The sequence below is a fragment of the Homo sapiens genome, chromosome 10, assembly GCF_000001405.40.
Source record: "Homo sapiens chromosome 10, GRCh38.p14 Primary Assembly".
NCBI classification, from domain to species: Eukaryota; Metazoa; Chordata; class Mammalia; order Primates; family Hominidae; genus Homo; species Homo sapiens.
Window position 1 is genome coordinate 15,812,558 of NC_000010.11, and position 20,397 is coordinate 15,832,954.

Sequence of the window (20,397 nt, forward strand, 5' to 3'; positions counted from 1 at the left end):
CTAAATTTAAATTTAAAAACTAAGCAGTTTCTACGTGGTGCATCAGTCTACATAACAGATTGTCTCCCATCACTGCTCTTTGGAGGGAAATACAAGAAGAAAGTCATGTCAGAGAAGCTACAGCATAGCTCTCCACATGCCTGTCTGAGAGGTACCTCTTATTTCCCCAATCCCACTTATTACGTGATGTGCATACAGTGAACAAATTGCTTTAATAACAAGCAGTTACATTCAACAACAGCAAAGCTGCTAAGTACACATTTTCTAAAGCTCTAAGATCTAATCATTAGCCACACCTATCTTATTAGACATTTCTACCCCTCCGCTGCCAATCCAATCCATCACCCAGTCCTGTCATTCTACCTCAGGAGTAAATCTCTGAAATCCATGCACTTTTTTCCTCTCTACCTCACTACTCTGGACCAAATTGTACTCTTTGCTTACCTGAAATAGAACTAGAGAAGTCTTTTTTACCTATTCCCTGGGTTATCCTTCAATATATCCATTCTCCACAATTAGCTAGAGTTATCTTTTACAAATGTGAATTTAATCCTGTTCCCTTCCTTCCCACCTCCCCCAAAACTACTCCCACTACCAATTTTTAACAAGTCTAGTTGTCCTAACTCTTAGTATCAAAGAGTAACATGGCCTGCTATTCTTCCAGCTTCATCTTACACCTTGTCCCCCTAATTCTCAGTGCTCCCTCCAGCCCTTGTCTTTCAGTTTGTTCTCACCCAAGTTCATCTGTCTGTCTGTCCTTCTTTCTTCAGGCATGAATTTGCTCTATTTGTCATGTAGAGAATGCTCTTTCCCCTCTCTTCCTCTGGTTTAATCTGATACCTCAGGTTCTCATTTTAGGCATCAATTTTTTAAGTAAACATCCCAATTTTCCAAAACTACAATAAATTCTTACAGCATTATGGACCTGTGCTTTGTCAGCACTCATCACACTTGTAAATTTATGTGATTATTTATATATCCTTGAGTAACTCAAGGAGAATGTCCGCCTCCATTAAGAACAGACCCATATCTATTTTTGCTCACCACTGTATTCACAACACCTGGCATAATGCCAGGCACATACTATAATCCAGTAAAAAGCTCATAAATGAGTATATGAATGAATGAAGAAACCTGCAACTATTACCACCTTCACCGCATAAGGCACACAAAGAATTCCACTGTTCTTCACAGGCATTTCACAACGCCAAATTACAGACTGCCTTAAAAATTATGCAAATAAAATATACTTTTTTACTTAATTGTAACCAGAACAAAGAAGTCAGCACATGAAATACACCAACAAACATATCAGTTTTATAAAAAAAGACATAAATATTTACAAGGAACTGCTGGGGAAAAATTAAAACAATGTTGTTTCAGGCCACTGAATGTATAATAAAGCAAACTCACCAAAACTCAAAAAAAAAAAAAAAAGAAAAAGAAAAAAGAAAAACCCACAGCCAAAACTGCTTGCTCAAATGCAGAAATGTTAAAGAAGGAATGGCCGAATAATGATTCTTGTTATAATTTTAAGAAGAGCGAAATTTCCAGTATTTTTTATGTGGTGAAGACTATATGAACATCAGTTTATATTTAACAAATCTAAAACAGGACTCAATAAATGTGATCAAGTATTATTGTTCTTATTTACCATTTAGGTGAACTTCCAGCTTTGTTTTACTTTTATTTCAAGGGGAAAAAACAACTCTTCACTGGGAACTCCTCTTAAAGGTAACATCTCAAACAATCCAAATTTGACTACTCTAAGAAAGTATCTATAGATACTACACAATGAAGCATCACAATGAGTCGTGTAAAATATTCTTAGGGGATATAAACGTCACTGGAACCCAAATGCGGGAAATTTGTACAAAAGTTTTATTCATTCAACTAATAATTCCCCCCACCCCTAGTGTGCCAGACTATATACTAGATCCTGAGACTACACAGGTAAGTCTCAAAACAGTAACAATTAGTATAAAATTCAAGAGTTCTACACCCACATGGCAGGAGTTTTTGTGTTTTTCTCTTAACTCCATGTCTCTAATTCAACACGTTATTGCACATGACAGGGATCTATGAATAAAAAGGTGGGCGAGAGACAGCCCCTGCCCTAGACAAAGTTCACTGGCTGCCATGGGACACGCAGAAAACAGTATGGGAATTAGAAACTGTGTGCTGTTTGACACATGCGACAGCACAATGGGCGAGTGCTATGGGAACCACAAAAGTATCAGGACAGGTAGGAAGAGTGTACTCATAAAAAGAAGGGCCTATTTCACTCTTGGGAACTCCCTCAACATCACTAACTTTTTCAGATAATGTCCTCAGACTCACAGCTCATTCGACACTGTTCCTTGTATTATACCTTCTGTGAAATCTCTCCTACTGTTCTGACAACAAAATCATTTCTTAAACATCAATTATAAAATTTAAGATTTAAAATATTGTCATCTTTTATATTCAACACTTTTAGTTTCATATAATTAGTTTTCCTTAAAGAATAAGGTTGCAGACAAACATGATTAAAAATTGGTTTGAAAATACATTTTTGTGTGTAAGTCAGAATTAATTTTCTTTTATGGTAATTTATAAAATGAAATCCTCACTCAGGAATTAGTAATTGTCAGTTTTTGTAGTTCACATTGTGCTTTTTAACTTCCTCTCTCTACTTCAGGAAGGAAATAAATAGCAAAAGCTTTCAAACTAAATGCAATGTATCAGTAACTCTGTACTTTTAGCATTTAATTTTAAAGCTTTCCGTGCTTGAGAAAAGGCAATTATGTATCTTGCTCTATAACCCCTATCTGGACTTTTGCCAACACAATAAAAGTAAATACAGTAAGACATAATTACATTCACGAAACTTAGCATTGTCAATTCAGACTAGAGTATAATTTATACCACTTGTACTTTCTACAGAAACAAATAATAAACTTTCATTGACTATACATGCTCAAAAAGCTCAAGGAGTAATCAGGAAAGCACATCACAATGAAGAAACCTCTAAAATACAATTCTGTATCTTCCTACGAACATTCAGCAACCTATCAAGTTACCTATGATCCCAGAGATGTTTAACGTATGTTTCTTGAATACTAAAAATGATGATGATGATGATGATGACGATGACCACAGCTAAAATTTACTCAGCATTTAATTTGTACTAGGCACTGCTAAATACTTTGTATTTAAGCCTGACAACAATTCTAAAAGCTAGGTACTATTATGAATCCCTATTTTAAAGACACAGGAAAGGGGGCTGAGAGATGTTAAGAAGTGGCAAGGCTGGGATTAAAACCAAAGTCGTCTGAGGCCAAAGCTCTTAACCACTCAATTGTGGAAAAACATGATATACAGATTATAGTTGAGATTTAAAAATAGCTTTGTTATAAGAATTTTGAAATAGAAATATTCAGATATGGCGGGGCACAGTGGCTCACGCCTGTGATCCCAACACTTTGGGAGGCAGAGGTGGGCAGATCACTTGAGGTTAGGAGTTTGAGACCAGCCTGGCCAACATGGCGAAACTGTCTCTACTAAAAACACAATTAGCTGGGTGTGGTGGCATGCACCTGTAGTCCCAGCTACTCGGGAGGCTGAAGTGGGAGAATCGCTTGAACCCAGGAGACGTAGGTTGCAGTGAGGCGAGACTGTGACATTACACTCTAGCCTGGGCAACACAGTGAGACTCCATCTCAAAAAAAAAAAAAAAAAAAATGAAAAAGAAAAAAAATAAAAAAGACAAGAAAAGAAATATTCAGATATATTTCAGCTATTTCAATATTGTAATCAGGTATATATTAAAATTGTGGGAAGTATTCCATCTTAAAAGAGCATTTGACTTTAATACCATTGAATTATTAATAGATTTTAAAATTTTTTCAAAGGAGATGCTGTAATTAAAACATTTTATATCATGTATCATCTAAGTTAAATAAATCTTTTATCCTACTTACAAAAAAAGCAATCTAAAACTTTAAAATTCAATTGTTTTCTCTATAACACAAGTGATTTCTGAAAAAAATCAAAAGCTAAAGCTCTAAAGAAAGAAGAAGAAATTATAACTAAATCATGATAGATTTTGATTAAAAGATTCCAGATTTAGAGCACGAAAACAGTATGTTCTTCAGTATTAGTTTTTGAGATTTTTGAACAATTCATTTGTTGTGGGAATAGACTGAAGTTTGCACAAAGATCCAAACCAAATATGAACTTATAATACTTGTTTGCCTGATGTCATAACTTAAAAAAAAATCCTGCTATAAGCATACCTTGGCAAAAAATACGGTGAGGTGAGTCTCACTGCCAACAATCCAAATAGGGAATTTTGGAGATTTCAAGTAAGAACCAACCTAGAACAAATGTAGCAAAATAAAACAAATAAACAAATTAAAAATTTATACTGCCTCTTATTTGCCCATAAATATCTGAAGCATAAAGTGTCCAATTTGTATTTAACTGAAATAATGTATTGTGCCCGAGCACTTCACCCATAGAGATCAAATGCTGAATGTAAAAATGAGTGTTAGAAGACTGTCAGTACTGAGCTTATATTGTGCTTTGACATTAAAACAACAACAATATAGATTTAACACAGCTGGAGATAACTATTTAGCCCTAAGAGTCATTCTCAGGTTTTGCTAAAGTTCCTAGATAAAATGACCACTTCTTAGAATTTCAGCATGAAACCTCAAACCCTAAAACTATAAACTTGACGATAATAACTTTATAAGGAAAATAATTATAGTTTATCAAATGAGTAGATTTATGAATAATCAAAGGGAAAGAACATCTTTGCTCCCAAATAATCAAGAAAAATTACAATTTAAACCATTTAAGTATGTAAGTGTCCTGTTATTTGACTCTTCATGATAGAAGGTAGGTTCAAAGTTTCACAGTATGAACAGTCTCTTTAAAATGTATAAAAAGCTGTATTTGTACTCTGCTCTCAAGGTTACATAATCTGTGAACATTACTATACCAAAAACTTGAGAACACGATTGTGTGTGTGTGACTGAGAAAAAAAAAGTTTAATACTAAACAAACAGAATAGACTTATGAAACCCAACACGTTCACACCACTCAATTCCACTCTCATATGAAGACAGAAACTTTAACTTAAAAATGACGAATCTTAGCAATACAATTTGCTGCATTTTCCTTTTTCTTACAGACTGCCTATAATTGGGGAATTCCAAGTGGCTGTTTGTGGCAGTCAGGCCAAAAATTCTTTCCTAATCAGCCAGCAGCCCCTGCTTCAACCACCACCCTGGCCCTGTGGAATTTATTCTTATCACTAGGAGGGAAGTGGAAAATAGGTACTCTTTTGTATCCATGGACAGAGAAACTAGTATTTTTGTCCTATGATGGGAGGGATGAGTTAGATGTGCTAATGTGGCAATGTTGAGCCAGTAAAGTAGGAAGGATGGTTTGGGAACAGCAGAGAAGAATAAAAGAAAAGGAACAAAGAAAGAGGGAAAGATAAAATCACAGTTCCAGAGTGGACGAGGATTTTAGAGGTGAGCTGTGCAAGTCCTTCAATTTATACATAAGGAACCAGAGAAATACACAGGATCTGTGCCTGGTCTCATCTCAGGCAACTAAATAGTACAGAGCTAGAATTAGGACTTAAGTTTTCTGACTTCTATCTACTCTGATGGATTTCCATCACATCACATGGTGCCTCGTGTGGTGAAGAGATTAGATATTAACCTTTCTTTCAGAAAAAGTGTGTATTTAAATTAAGGTAGAAGTAAAAAAAAAAAACAAACAAACAAAGGATAAGATCAAAGAATAAATGAATGCTAAACTCATGAAATGTTTTGTAATAGTAAAAATATATTGAATGCATAAATAAGTGTCATCACTTTGGACAACAGTTTGACACTTCCTCAGAAAGTTAAAAATAGAATTACTGTATGACCAGTAATTTCACTCCTGGGTATATACAAAGAGAAATAAAAACATGTACACAAAAAATTTGTACATCAATGTTTACAGCAGCCCTAGTCATAACAGCTAAAGTAGAAACAACCCAACTGATGAACAGATAAAATTGGTTTAACATACAAAAGAATATTATTTGCTCATAAAAAGGAATGAAATACTAACACATGTAAAAAACAGAGATGAACAATGAAAACACCATGCTAAGTGAAAGGAGCCAGAAACGAAAGGCTATATACTACATGATTCCATTGGTATGAAATGTACAAAAGAGGTAAATCCACAGAGGCAGAAACAAGAGTAGTGGTTTCCAGGGGCTGAGTGGGAGGAGCATGGGACTGCTAATGGGTTTAGAGCTCCTTTTGTGGGTAAGGAAAACATTTTGGAATTAGATTGGGGTAATGGTTGCATTGCATCGTGAATATATTAAAAAGCCCTGAATTGTATGCTTTAAAATGGTGAATCTCCTGGTATGTGAGTTATAAATCTATCTTTTTTAAAAAAGTAGAGTCAAAAGTAGCCATAGCCACCTTATTCTTTGTTGGGTTTGTACGTGTGTGTTGAGAGGGAGAGTGCAGGAGGGAGAAAGAGATTATTTCATCACCTTAATTGTATTAATGCATGTATAATCAAAATGATATTGCAAAATGTTAATTTCATCTTTAAAGGGAAATCTGCTACACTTATCAAAGCACGGGGAAATGTTCAGACTTACAAAATTAACACAAGCTCAATGACTTCCTTAATGCCATTCCTCCAAGCATCTCATAGAAAGTAAATGTAAAATATACACAGAATTTGAGAAGTTAGAGAGAGATGAACACTGTAGCGTAATATAGTTTTTCAAAAAATGCTGTCTTGACTCACTTTTGAGGCCCTGGCTAGAGGCCAGTCATTCCCTTGCAAAAGATAGCTAATTAAGTTCTTATTCCAGCCACTACCATTATAGGTCTCCCACACTCCAGGGATCACCCTAATCACCCTGGAGTCAGGTACCAGACAGACTACTAGGGATAACCCAAGAGCCCCCCAGAGTTATCCAAATTAGCCAATCCACAGGGGAGCTCAGGCAATCTAGCTGACCCCATCCTACTTCAGGTACATCAGCTGCTCCTAATGGCTCCAGCTTGCTGTACCCCAGTCCCCAGATGCAATCCTGCATGTGGCCCTGCCTGGCTTCCCTCCCTCATTTGCAGTTGGAAGGAACAGAGTTTTGCCTTTCACCTATCCAAGTGTTAGTGTGTTTTGTTGTGCCATTAGCAGAAGCCTTAAATCTCATTTAAAACCATAGTTAACTGCTAAAACACTACAGCAATATGTAAACAGAAGAATACACAGCAGCGATTGACTTCCCACTAAGATCTTGAGGGGAAAAACGTTCTTCTGTTCTACCTAAAAATTAAAGCAAAGTAAAGCCTACATCTAGAAAACCAAACAATTCTGGTGAATACGTCCATTCATTCATTCAACAAATATTTCTGAGCACCTGGCACTTAATATGTACCTAGCAATGTCCCAGTTTCCAGAGTCTATATTCCATTAGGGAAGACAATAGAAAAGCAAATTCAAGATTTAAAAAGAAAAGTAAACAAAAAGTGTCATTAATTATTCCTATTAAATATTGTGGAAAAGAATATCTGAGGGAGTGGTCAAGAAAAAAGTCTCTGAGGTACGATCTGCAGTCCAGCCTGAAGGGGACAGTGAGCCATCCATCTCAAGAGCTGGACAACTCCAGGCAGAGAGGACAGCAAGCACTGGAGAGGGCTCGGCGTGTCTGGGAAAGTGAGAGGACCAGTGTGGCTGGAGCACAGCAGTAGAGAAAGCAACGCAACTGCAAAGACCACCAGGGTCTTAAGGGATACACAGGAAATATTTCCAAATATAAAATCTCCACCCCCTAGCCTCATACAAGACGCAGGCATGCGTGCACATCCCACTTGCCCCACCCCCCGCCTCCATGCTTAACTTTCTTTAGGATCTACGAATGTGTGTGTATATGTGTTAGGGGGAAGGGGACACACTTTGATTCTCTAGTTGCCAGGCTGTTTCAGAATAGCTTTAGTTTACACAATTAAAGTCACCGAAGATAAAAGTCACTGAAAATACTGTTTAACCATATGATCACTACTAAAGGAGTAAGGGCAGGACAAATCCAATTTGATTATCATATGCATATCACCCAGTGTTCAAGTGAAACATGAAAAAGGAACGCTGTCTGACGAAAAAGAGGATCAACCATGATTATCGTTATTACATATAATTATCACCATCTGAACCCCTGCTATGGAACCCTGTTCTAAAATAGAAAAGGAAGGTCAGGTGCCTTAGGCTCATGCCTGTAATCCCAGCACTTAGGGATGGAAGCCAAGGTAGGAGAATAACTTGAGGTCAAGAGTTTGAGACCAGCCTGGGCAACATAGCAAGACCCTGTCTCTATTTAAAAAAATTTTTTTAATGAAAAAGAAAACTAGATCTACTTCTTTCTCCCAAATCATGACATCTTACGAAGTGCAAGTCAATAATGGTTTAAATTCCATTTAAAACTATTTACAATACCCATTTCAGGTTGTTTCAGATTGTGTAGGAGGAGAATGAAATAAACAGCAATAAATGAGAGTTCCATGGCAGTTCCTAACCCTAGTGCATGTGTCAAAGAGTTTAATGTTGTAAAATGCTTGAAATTTTTTTCAGTGTGAAATCATTTTTCAGATGGAATAGATAAAAGTCAGAATTTCAGGCATCTGGCAATTCTTTCTCTTTGCCTAATAAAGTATTACCAGTTGTTTTAGTGAAGCATATTCTTCGTTAGGTAATAAAGAAACAGTGCTTTCTTCATCCTCATTTTGCCAAAAATAAATTCATATTCAATAATAGATGTCTGTGGCTTTTTTGAATTATTTTGTACTGGGTTCTGCCCCTCCTCCGACAAAAATAACAACAGACCTAGCATAGGAAACTCAGCATAATCAGCTGGCTTAACCACACTTAATAACCCTGCTGGTTTAGGGTGGGGGATAGGAAGGAAGAAGAGAGCGGTACTGAACCATAGTGCTGTGCTCAAATGTGCTGTCAGAGGAACAAAACAGTATCCACAATAGTGGACATCTAAACAAAAAACATTCAAAGTACCTTAAAAATCAATTTACCTTACAGTATCTTAAAGCTTCCATTAGTGTTAAAAATCCTACTGCTGCTTGTTCATGTATACCAAGAAGTTCTGCAAAAAACAACAACAACAACAAAAAACGAAAACTTAGCATTGTAGTAGTGTGTATAAATTTGAAACGTACTTATATGTATATATATTTATACTACACCAAAACTTTTAACTTTTACCCAAAACTATACTTTAAAACTTAGCATGTAATCATTACAGTACTGCTCATTATAAAATACCATTAGATCAGGTTTGTGGTGGGTAAATGTGATGCTTTAGATGTATATTAAATGTATTTATAAAACTTGATATTCAATGTTAACTTTTTAAATGAGAGAATTTACTCCCTGAAATCCATGCCATTGTTGACAAAAATACAAGAAGAAAAAGAGACTCAATACCTATGTAAAAGGGCTAACTTGAATTGACTTTGATTTTGAAAAACAAATGGATATGCTAATCACTGGTAAAATTTATCATTAGGTAGCAGTGACTCCACTTGCCTAATACTTAAAACATGGACATTTAATGCCATCCCTCTTTCCTATAAACACAGGCTGTGTGCTTCAGACTGGGGAAATAAAGAAGAATAGAAAATGATCTCTGCCTTAGAAAGGCTATGACTTTACCAAAGACGACAGATGAAAAAAACATATGTGGTCTCTCTGTACACACACACACACGGAGTGGTATGAGAGTATCTGCCTACAGTGTTAGGGAAGGCTTATAAAAGTGATAACAGGGAGTTGAATCTTGAAGCGTATTACAGTTCTCCAGGCCAAAAAGAGGATGACAAGAAAATTCAAAGCAGAAGAAACAACAAACAGGTATGAAAAATCGATGCATTTAAGGAATGAAGAATTTGGCAAAGTTTCCTTAAATGTTTCTGGTCTGGGGGGACATGATAAATAGTGATTAACACAAAGAATTAAGAAGTAAGTTCTGGACTCGTGTGAAGAGGTAACATGAGTTTGGTTTTAGCTAAGCTGGGATTGAGGTACCTTTACGTGCTCTAGCTAGAGAGGGATAAATAGCCGGAAGTAAGGCTCAGGAATACAGGAGAGAAACGTCAGGGTTGGAGATAAAGATTTGGGAATCATCAGCATAGAGATGAGAGTTAAAGTTATGGAAGTGGGTAAGTCAGAACAGACACAACGCAGGGAATAAAAATGTGATAATAATAAAGTCTTTTCATAAACGATACCCTTCAGCTAACATACATTAATATAATAATATATTTGGGTCCATAATATATCTAAAAAGCATTTCTTTCTGGGTAAAAATTATGTTCACTGTAAACATAATGCATATATAATTTTGCATCCTTTTTACCATCTGGTCATGTTTTGTCCATTTTTCCATTAGGATATATTTTCTTATCAATGAATGTAGTAAGAATATTAACTCTGTTATTTTTGTGGCCAACATTTTACTGTGTAGCCTTAACTACAACATCTAGATGGTGTAAGGCAAGAGCTGACAGTTTAACTTTCTGGATTGGTAAATCCAAAATTAATAGAAGGTGCATATACATACAGTTTATACTTTGTCACTAGCTTCTTACAGGCACAGATCAGGTAGAGCAATGGTTCTTCAATTGTGGTTTAGGATTCCTCAGGGACCACAAGACCCTCTTAGAGACTACGTGAGATCAACATGATTTTCATAATATGATGTTAATTACCTTTTTACACTTACTCTCTCATAAGCACAGAGTTTTACAGAGGTTGATCTGTTATATTGTATCAGACTAAATTTATAAGCATATATGAAGATCCGGCTGTCTACTAATAAGCCAAGCATTAAAGGGATTTGCAAAAATTTAAAACAACGTCACTCTCCTTAATTTTTGTTAAGTTTATTAAAAATGTTATTTATGTTAATATTAATGAGTATATTTTGTTTTTTTCTAAATTATGTTTTATTTCTACAAATTTAGGAGGTAAAAGTGAAATTTCTTTAAACACATATACTACATAATGATCAAGCCAGGGTATGAAGAGTATCCACTGCTCAAGTACAATGCAATTTTCTTAAGCATAGTGATCTTACTCTGCTATCAAATATTGAATTTACTCCATGTTACAGTATGTTTGTACTCTAACCCACTCCCCTCATGCTTCTCCCACCGCCTGCCACTGACCCTTCCCAGTCTCTGTTATCTATCATTCCACTCTCTACCTCCATGTGATCAAATTTGTTTAGATCCCACATATAAGTAAGAGCGTGTGATTTTGTCTTTTTCTTCCTGGCTTATTTCACTTAAGATTATGACCTCCAGTTCCATTCACGTATACTGCAAATAACAGGATTTCATTCTTTGTTATTGTTTATAGAATTCCAGTTTCTTTATCCATTGACCTGTTGATGGACACTTAGGTTGATTCCCTAGCTTTGCTACTGTGAATGGTGCTGCAATTAGCATGCACGTGCAGGTATCCCTTTGATATACTGATTTCTTTGTCTTTGGGTAGATACTGAGTAGTGGGATTGCTGGATCTGGTAATCCTATTTTTAGTTTTTTGAGAAATCTCCATACTGTTTTCCATAGTGGCTGTACAAGTTTATATTCCCACCAACAGCATATAGGAGTTCTCTTTTCTCTATCTTCGCCACACTTTTGTTGTTTTTTAACAGCCATTCTGACTGGGGTAAGATGACATCTCATTGTGGTTTTGATTTGTAGTTCTCTCATGATCAGTGATGTTGAACATTTTTTCATATACCTGTTATTTTAAAGTGAATTAATACGTATTTAAAAATTTCTCAATCTTTAACATGAAAAACATTGATTATTTGCTTTGGGATCATCCGTAAGAGTGTAAAGGGCATGAGATTAAAAGGTTTTAGAATCTTCAGGTTAAAGCAAAACAAGGGAGAGGAGAAGAACAGCCCAAATAGGTATAAATGGATACTTCATATCTTCGCAAACTTTTCTCTCCCTTTCCTTCTTAAATGTAAGCAACACTAAATGTTTTCATGTAAAAAAGAATACATACATTGGGAAACAGTTTCACAATTTAATTTCTAAAATCAGTTACCACCACCTAGTGTTACAATTAGATACTACATCATCTATTTCCCTGGACTTTTAAACAAATGTCTAATAATAATATCATGTTACTAAATACAGCAAACTAGTTGTTCATAATTCTTGGGTAATGAACTATTTAGATTTGATCAGTAAACACATGCTTAGACATCTAGTCTGGATGGTAATTATTTTAAAAATGTATTATGCCTGTTTTCTTAAACAGAATATATACTTAACATTTTTACCTTCTTATGATAGTTTCAAGAGCATCACACTAGGAAAATTTACTTTTATGCCAAGTTGTAATACAGTGAGGATTTAATATTCTCACATGTTACGATTTATAGAATTTATTTGTAGGAGACTTTCTCAATAAGCCTTGAAAGTGTCTATTTTCAAGTATTCCTAATCTGAAAATCTGAAATCCGAAATGTTCCAAGATCTGAAGCATTCTGAGAGCCAACATGACTCTCAAAGGAAATGTTCATTACAGCATTTTGGATTTCAGATTTTCAGATTAGGGATGCTAAACTGGTGAGGAAAAATGCAAATATTTCCAAATCTGAAAAAAATCGAAATCTTAAATGCTTCTGGTCCCAAGCATGTACTCTACATTTGCAAAAAAATTCAAATTACTTTGTGATTATATTCTTGTTTTCTTTGCCAGAATTAATTTACTATCTTTTATTATCAGAGACGGTGTCTTGCCTTCTTGCCCAGGTTGGTTTCAAACTCCTGGCCTTAAGTGATCCTCCCGCTTTGGCCTCCCAAACTGCTGAGATTAAAAGGCACAAGCCAATACACCCAGCCTAACTGATTATCTTATATAAAAGAGAATGAAACAAACCATCAAAACTCATTCAGTTTCTGACTGCATTTTTAGGAGTTCCACATATTAAGTGGAATATAACCAGACAAGCACCAGAGAAACATGACTATTTTTTGGCCTAACTATAATATCCGTTTCTGTTTATTTTATAATTGACAAATTAAAGTTGTATATATTTACCGTGTACAACATGTTTTGAAATATGTATACACTGTAGAATGGCTAAACTGAGCTAATTAACATATGCATTATTCTGTGTATGAGTCCATCATCTTTCAATTAGCTATGCATTTGACTGGCTGTAATACTGATTTCTTTTTATAAAAACAAAACAAAAACCCACAAAAAACCAAGAAACTTCTGGGTTTCTGAATTACAAGAGTTGACTCTTCTATCCCTATCCCATAAAGAAAATTATAAAATAAAAATAATCATCAAATAAGCATACAAAAATAAATAAACAATATGGACAAAAATAATGTACAAATACTGAAGAATTCCTTTAAGATAAAAAAGAGACCATGACAAAATTAATCTACAGAAAATCAAAATCAAAGAAAACTTTAGCTCAACATACATGGAATAGTACGAAATGAAGATGGATGGCAGGTAGAGAGGAGAAAGACCACAAAAGGATCTGAGAACCTTAGAAGGAGTTTGGATTTTATTTTAAGTGCGTAGGGAAGCCAGCCATCGAATGGTTTTAAGGGAGAGAGAAACATGATCTCACTGAGTTTGAAAAATATCACACTAGCCCCTGTGAAAGAGTGGGCAAGAATGCATTTAATTTGATTAGTTCTACTGCAGCTTATTTCTGTTCTATTGGAGAAGCAAAAGATGGTTTCAAAAACTGGGGTAGAATCAAGTATATGGATTCAGGACCATATAATCTATATAAAACACTGAATATTTTTCACTAAAGAATGTACAAAACAATCTAGTTGGGAAGATAATATGTAAAGATATAATTTCCTCAAAATAACCTACAAATATAATGTAACCAATCCAAATCTTCAAAGATTTCTTAAAACTGGAACTTGAAGAGCTGGGAGGAAAGTTCAACTGGAATAGATAATGTAGAAAAGACTATGACAATTTTGTAAAAGTATAACATCAGGAAACATGCTAATGAATATCAAAGTATATTATAAAACTATGTAATTGTGAAGTTTTGCATAAGAAGTCACAAAAAGATCAGTGGAATAGAATAAAAACATGTAAATATGGAAAAATGTGTTCAACAAAAAACGTATTTCCTATCTGTGGAGAACTGACTGGAATTAGGACATTAGATAATTCTTTGAGAAAAAGTCAAAAGGCAGATCCCAAACTCATACCATTCATAAATACAAAATCCAGATAGACTAAAGAGCCAAACATTAAAAAACAAAAAGCCCACAAAAGCATTTTTGGAAAATACTAGAGAATATTATCTTGGGGTGGAGCCGGGCATGATGGTGCACGTCTGTAGTCTCAGCTACTTGAGAGACTGAGGCAAGAGGACCACTGGAGCCCATTTAGAGGCTGCAGTGAGCTATGACTGCACTACTGCACTATGGCCTGGGTGACAGAGCGAGACCCCGTCTCTAAAAAATGAAAATAAAAAATCTGGGGGTGGGAGACACATAAAATTGATATAACAGGAGTAAAAAAAAAAAAAAAAAAAAAAGCCCAAATAGAAGCCATCTAAAAAAAAGACCAAATGATTTAACCTCATAAATATGAAAGCCAGCCAGGCGCGGTAGCTCACGCCTGTAATCTCAGCACTTTGGAAGGCCGAGGTTGACGGATCACCTGAGGTTGGGAGTTCGAGACCAGCCTGGCTAACATGGTAAAATCCCGTCTCTACTAAAGATACAAAATTAGCTGGGCATGGTGGCATATACCTATAATCCCAGCTACTCGGGAGGCTGAGGCAGGAGAATTGCTTGAACCCGGGTTAGGCAGAGGTTGCAGTGAGCCAGGATCGTGCCACTGCACTCCAGCCTGGGTGACAGAGTGAGACTCCGTCTCAATAAATAAATAAATAAATAAATAAATAAATAAAAGCCTTGGATATAAAAAAATATATCATTAACAAAGTTAACAAGAAAGAGAAGGCTGGGTGACAATATTTGCAACACAGGTCAAACAGAGGAAGAACTAAGAGAATTTATAAAGAGCTCCTAGAAACTGAACAAAAGAAAATAACTCCTCCTCCCCAAAAGCCAAAAAGATGGGAAGAGGTAATTCACAGAAGAAGAATACTCAAAACTCACAAACACGTGAAGAGATGATCAAGCTCAGGCTCAATGAGCACCAGAGAAATGTGAATTAAAACAGCCTATCACTTGTCAACAAACTGACAAAATGTTAAAGATGGACAATTCTAAGTGTCAGGCAGGATGCAGAAAAATACGAACTCTCCTACACACTTCAAAGAATAAGTTTATACTTTTACCAGTTGATAAAGCAAATTTTAGAAGGACATTTGGCATTATCTATCAAAATTTAACAGATGTTCCTCAAGAAGTTAAACCTTATGAGTTACCGTATGACCCAGGATTTCAACTCCTTGGTCTATGGCAAAGAAACACTAAAATATACATCTCATAAAAACTTGTACATGAATGTACCTCACAGCATTACTCATAATGGCCAAGTGGAAACACTCCACATGTTGGCGAACAAATGAATGTGGTATATTTGTGCAATGGTATGTTATTCATCAATAAAGAGGAGTGAAGTACTGGTACATGCTAAAACATGGTCACCTTGAAAATATTATACTAAGTGAAATCAATCAGTCACCAAAGACCGGATAGCGTATGAGTCTATTTCTATGAAACATCTCAAACAGGTAAATCTATAGAGAGAAAGTAGATGAGCGGATGCTAGGGCTGGCGTGGAAGGAAGTATAAGGAGGACAGGCTTTCTTTTTAAGATGACAAAATTTTTTAAAATTGATTGTGGTGATGGCTAAACAACTCTGAGAAAATATTTAAAATACTGAATTGTCCATTTTAAATGGGTGACATGCATACGTGAGTATCTCAATAAAGCTATAAGTAAAAAAAAAAAAAATTAACAGATGCCTAAAATTTTAATACACTTTCTACTTTTAGAAATCTAACCTGTAGGTATACTTATATAAGGAAAGACGTATATACAAAACATGTTTACTACAGCAGTTTCTTATAGCTAAAAATGGAAACAATCTAACTGTTTACCATAAGGAAACTCAAGGCAAAAAACAGACTAGGAAAAAAATACGTTTACTAACATGAGACATACATTCATTCAGCATTTACTGGACTTGTTTCCTGCTCTGACAACATAGTAGGAGGCAGGCAATATAGAAAGAAAAATTACAATTAAATAGTTACTCGTTGAAAATCCTTAGGTAAGCTGCTTTACCTCTCTAGGCTTCAGTTTCCTTCTTCATAACATATGGAGTAATACTTGCCTTGAAGGGTTGTTGTAAAGATTAAGATCCTATTTCCAAAATGCCTACACTGGCCCACAGAAAAAATTCAGTTTCCCTCAAAAGCCTAGGCACCTCGTTTACAGAAGCAAGAACATGTACACAAAGAACTATGATGCGAGGTGTAATAGAATGAAGCCGACTGAGGTAAAGCACCATAGATGATCAGAGGGAGGAGAAAACTTTTCCTGCTGTCGGGGTTAAGTGGAGAGACATTAAATGGGAGTTAACATTTTAATGGGGCCAGATGGAATGAGCAGGATGACATTTTGGGGAAAGTACCATTGTTTTTAACGACCGGGAGGCAGAGCCGTCTGAATAGAACAGTGGTTCTTAACCCTGACTACACAATATCACTTGCTTAAAAATATATGAATGCCCAGATTCCAGCTGACAACAATTCCATTACAATCTCTAGGTGGTGTGGCCTTGGCATATGATTTTAAATTTCTCCTAGTTAATCGTGATGTGCAGCCAAGTTTGAGAACCAGTGGATTAAAGCACTGGATTTGTGAAGGAGACTAGTAAAAGATTATAAACATAGGGTTGAGTACGAACACAGAGGCTCTTGAATGCTAAGAAGCTGAAACTTTAGTTGGCAAGCATTAGCAAGAGAGTCATTGAAGGCACTGAGCAGAGAAATAACCTAACAGGACGTGTAAAATAAAATCATTAACTTGTCAGTTTGCAGAATATACTGGAGTGGAATGACAGACAGAAAGCTATAGCATGATAGTCTAGACAGGTGAGAGTAATGAGACCACAACAGACTTGGCAAAGGAAGAAAAAAGGGAGCAGCTAGCATTTCTGTGCTTGCGCTAGGCAGCATATATGAATATGTGTATTTTTAACCTCAATGCACAGGTAAGAAAACCGAGGCTCAGATAATTTAGCAGTTTGCCCACCGTCAAACAGCAGAGGCATAAACTAACTGGTGCCATCGCCACACCCGAGGCCTCTGCTTGTTCCACCATGGCACAGTGTCCTGCGGTACCACTTGGCCTCTGTGAGACAAATTTCGAGAATGGAGAATCTCGAAGACTCAGCAACTCATTAGATACATGACAGTAAGGTACAAATAACTAGCAGGTTTTCAAATAAAGCTTGTTGAATAAAGTAACATCAGAAAACATTATGGCAAGCTGCATAACCAATGTCTGCCCTCAAGTGTTTCAATTTTCTATAAAGGGCAGTTACAACTACTGATGATTTTAAATTTCTCCCAGTTAATTGTGATGTGCAGACAAGTTTGAGAACCAGTTGTTGATAAGAGTGCTCATTATGCAGCAGTGGCAAACATGTATTGAACAGTGCTCAAGGACTTGATGAATATCTCTTTTTTGCCATTTTCTCACCTCATTCTAACTATCCTGTGATAATCATTCCCGTTGGAGGATGAGAAAGAGGCACTGAGTGAAGCATCTTGTTTAATTCCACACAGTTTAATAAATGGCGCAACTGAGATTCCAACCACAGTAGTCTAATTCCACACAGCTAACATACTTAATGATACACTGCCTCTTACACTACATGTTAGTCTTGAGTGCTGTAATACATATGTGAGATGGCATGGGAGTTCATCTTCTTTAAATTCCACAGTACACCTGAGAGGCAGATATCTGCCCCATTCATAGAGAAGAAGCTGAGATTGAGATTTTAATCCAAAGATTTCTGTCCGTGGTACAGAGTTAGTAAATGAGCCATGCAGTGTGCCACCTTCAGGGAGAATGAGGGGTAGGAAAAAGGCTACGATTTTCGCAGGTAGTGAGGTCTTTGCTTTAGAAGAACAAATGACACAGATTTCAGATCATAGAGAGTAAATATTTTAGCGATGCGGGCAAGGAAATTCTGCTGGTGAAAGGATGGAGAGAAAGAGGTTTGTGGCCTGGTCGTTACACATCACGATTTTTGTTTTAGGCAGTAGAAGCCACCTAAATTTTGTGTAGACCAGGGAAGAGAATCACATTTAATAGCAGAGACCGTAAATGGAATCAACAGTAACTCTGGAAAGATATATAGTTCTTCTAAAACAGGAAAAAAGAATATGCTGAAAAAAGACAACTTGAGATTCTAAAGTCAGCTGAGAGTGAGTGGGCAGAGGTAAAGTTAGAGACAGATAAAGAGGAGAAGGGATTTGAATTCACTGCCTCAAGCAGTGGTAGATAAAGGAGTTATGAGGAGTAGAAAAAAGGGTTACAATGTGCAGTCAGCAGTAAGAGTTTAAATGAGTTTAAGTAGGATTAATTTAGAGTACGCCCAACCAATGAAACTTGTAATGAGGTTTCTTTTCTAGCAATAATCAGCCTGGCAGTGGGAGGGAAAATGTGTACTATGTGTTATCCAGGAAAAACCAAGAAGGTTCAGTGAAATATAAATGGGGTATTTTTCTCATTTTTAAGTTTGATGACTGAACATTCGCTTCAAACAAACATTCCAAAATGCAAGAAATATACCCAATTTTCTTTTCCAAGTTAGCTATTTCAAAGTTATTGCTTAGTTTTGGCTTTTAAACTATACAGAAAAAAGGTCCACAGCAAGATGACAGCCTTGAAAAGCACTATTTCAAGGAACAAAAACGACATATGTGTACATCTCAAGAACCGAAACTGATAATTGACTAATATATTCTGTACAGGAAGTAACGACTTCACGTCAAGAGCTGCCTAAGGAGCCTCCTTTTCTTTTTTTTTTTTTTTTTTTTGAGATGGAGTCTCGCTCTATTGCTCAGGCTGGAGTGCCGTGGCATGATCTCAGCTCACTGCAACCTCCGCCTCCCGGGTTCAAGCAATTCTCCTGCCTCAGCTTCCTGAGTAGCTGGGACTACAGGCATGCATCACCACATCTGGTTAATTTTTGTATTTCTAGTAGAGACGGGGTTTCACTGTGTTGGCCAGGCTGGTCTCGAACTCCTCACCTCAGGTGATCCATCCACCTCGGCCTCCCAAAGTGCTGGGACTACAGGCATGAGCCACCGTGCCCGGACATGGAGCCTCCTATTCTTGAAACCTCATTCTGACTGTTAGTCCTGCCAATGAAAGTTATCTCATCTCAGTCTACGAGAGGTTGGGTGAGGAAGAGCCTAGGGAGGCAGAAGAGTATTCTGGTTTGGGGACTAGGGTAAGCTATCGAGAATCCGGAGAACGCGTAGAAAGATGAACCACACTGATGAGTACCAAGTGTGAGAGAGAGTGATGCGCTAAAGACAGTGTGGGAAGGGTCAGGCCAGAGCACACAGTAAGAAGTATCAAGGACAGAGGGCCAAGTGGGATGAGGCACCTCAACCCAAGTTCAGCAAGAACCTATTGCTTCCCTAATCATATGAGATAAGATACCTGGGGGTCCAGAAACAACTGGAAGAAGAAGAAAGACGGGAGTGTACAGAAGCCATCACAGGTGACAGAGAAACAGAGAGACCAAAAAACCCTGTATATTACCCAAGAGACACTGAAATGAGATTTTTTTTTTCATTGACAGGATTAAATGCTTTCAGCTATGAATCAGATTAAGGGTTGAAGAATAGGATGATCTCAATTAAAGAGAGCTGAGCAAGATAATTTGTAGTTTTTTGTTCACGAATTTCACTGTTTAAACTCTGACCTTTACTAGAAATCACCAAAACTTGGCTCTCATTCTAACCTCACCACTAAGTAAATAATTTTGCATATGAATTAAATAAGAAGTGAACTTAGTTCTTAAATTTTTTAAACAGTAAAACGGGTTGTACTGTGGTGCTTTTTAATTCTGAAGTTTTAATTTTACTGATTTTTTCCTTAATATTATGCCCTTTCATGTTTCTGTTAATTAACTACACATTTCTGAATTTGAGAAAAATTCAAATGGAAGATCATGAATCACTTCAATGGGAGCAAAAAGTGGTAACTATTATTTTCTCAATTATATTTGCTCTGTTTGACTGTGAGCTCTGGGAACCCTGGAGCTTCGTGTCCTATGCTACGTACTTC

General features: G+C 36.4%; 1 protein-coding gene and 1 long non-coding RNA gene across 15 annotated transcripts in view, besides 1 other annotated feature; one reads left to right on the forward strand and one right to left on the reverse strand.

The window, feature by feature from the left end:
- The window catches only part of LOC124902383 (uncharacterized), a 121,044-nt gene that overhangs the window by 74,801 nt on the left and 25,846 nt on the right, over positions 1-20,397 (forward strand). The gene's annotated exons all lie outside the window — the stretch shown is intronic.
- Positions 1-20,397, reverse strand: part of MINDY3 (MINDY lysine 48 deubiquitinase 3) — an 82,334-nt gene that overhangs the window by 34,384 nt on the left and 27,553 nt on the right. For 8 of the 13 annotated variants that reach the window (XM_005252600.3, NM_001318330.2, NM_024948.4 and 5 more), the window contains 2 exons: positions 9,099-9,169; positions 4,278-4,358 (listed from right to left, as the gene is read on the reverse strand). The exons of 1 other annotated variant lie outside the window; for it this stretch is intronic. In XM_005252600.3, the coding sequence (XP_005252657.1) occupies positions 4,278-4,358; positions 9,099-9,169 (152 nt within the window). The remainder of the gene's footprint in view (positions 1-4,277; positions 4,359-9,098; positions 9,170-20,397) is intronic. 4 more of the 13 variants (XM_006717508.3, XM_047425774.1, XM_017016671.2 and 1 more) reach the window with 2 other exon arrangements.
- Positions 2,201-2,350: an enhancer, noted in NCBI's record as "active region_3095". NCBI's record gives its function as "activates an Ori minimal core promoter by ATAC-STARR-seq in GM12878 lymphoblastoid cells {active_cell/tissue: GM12878}" and the evidence as "EXISTENCE:reporter gene assay evidence [ECO:0000049][PMID:35858748]".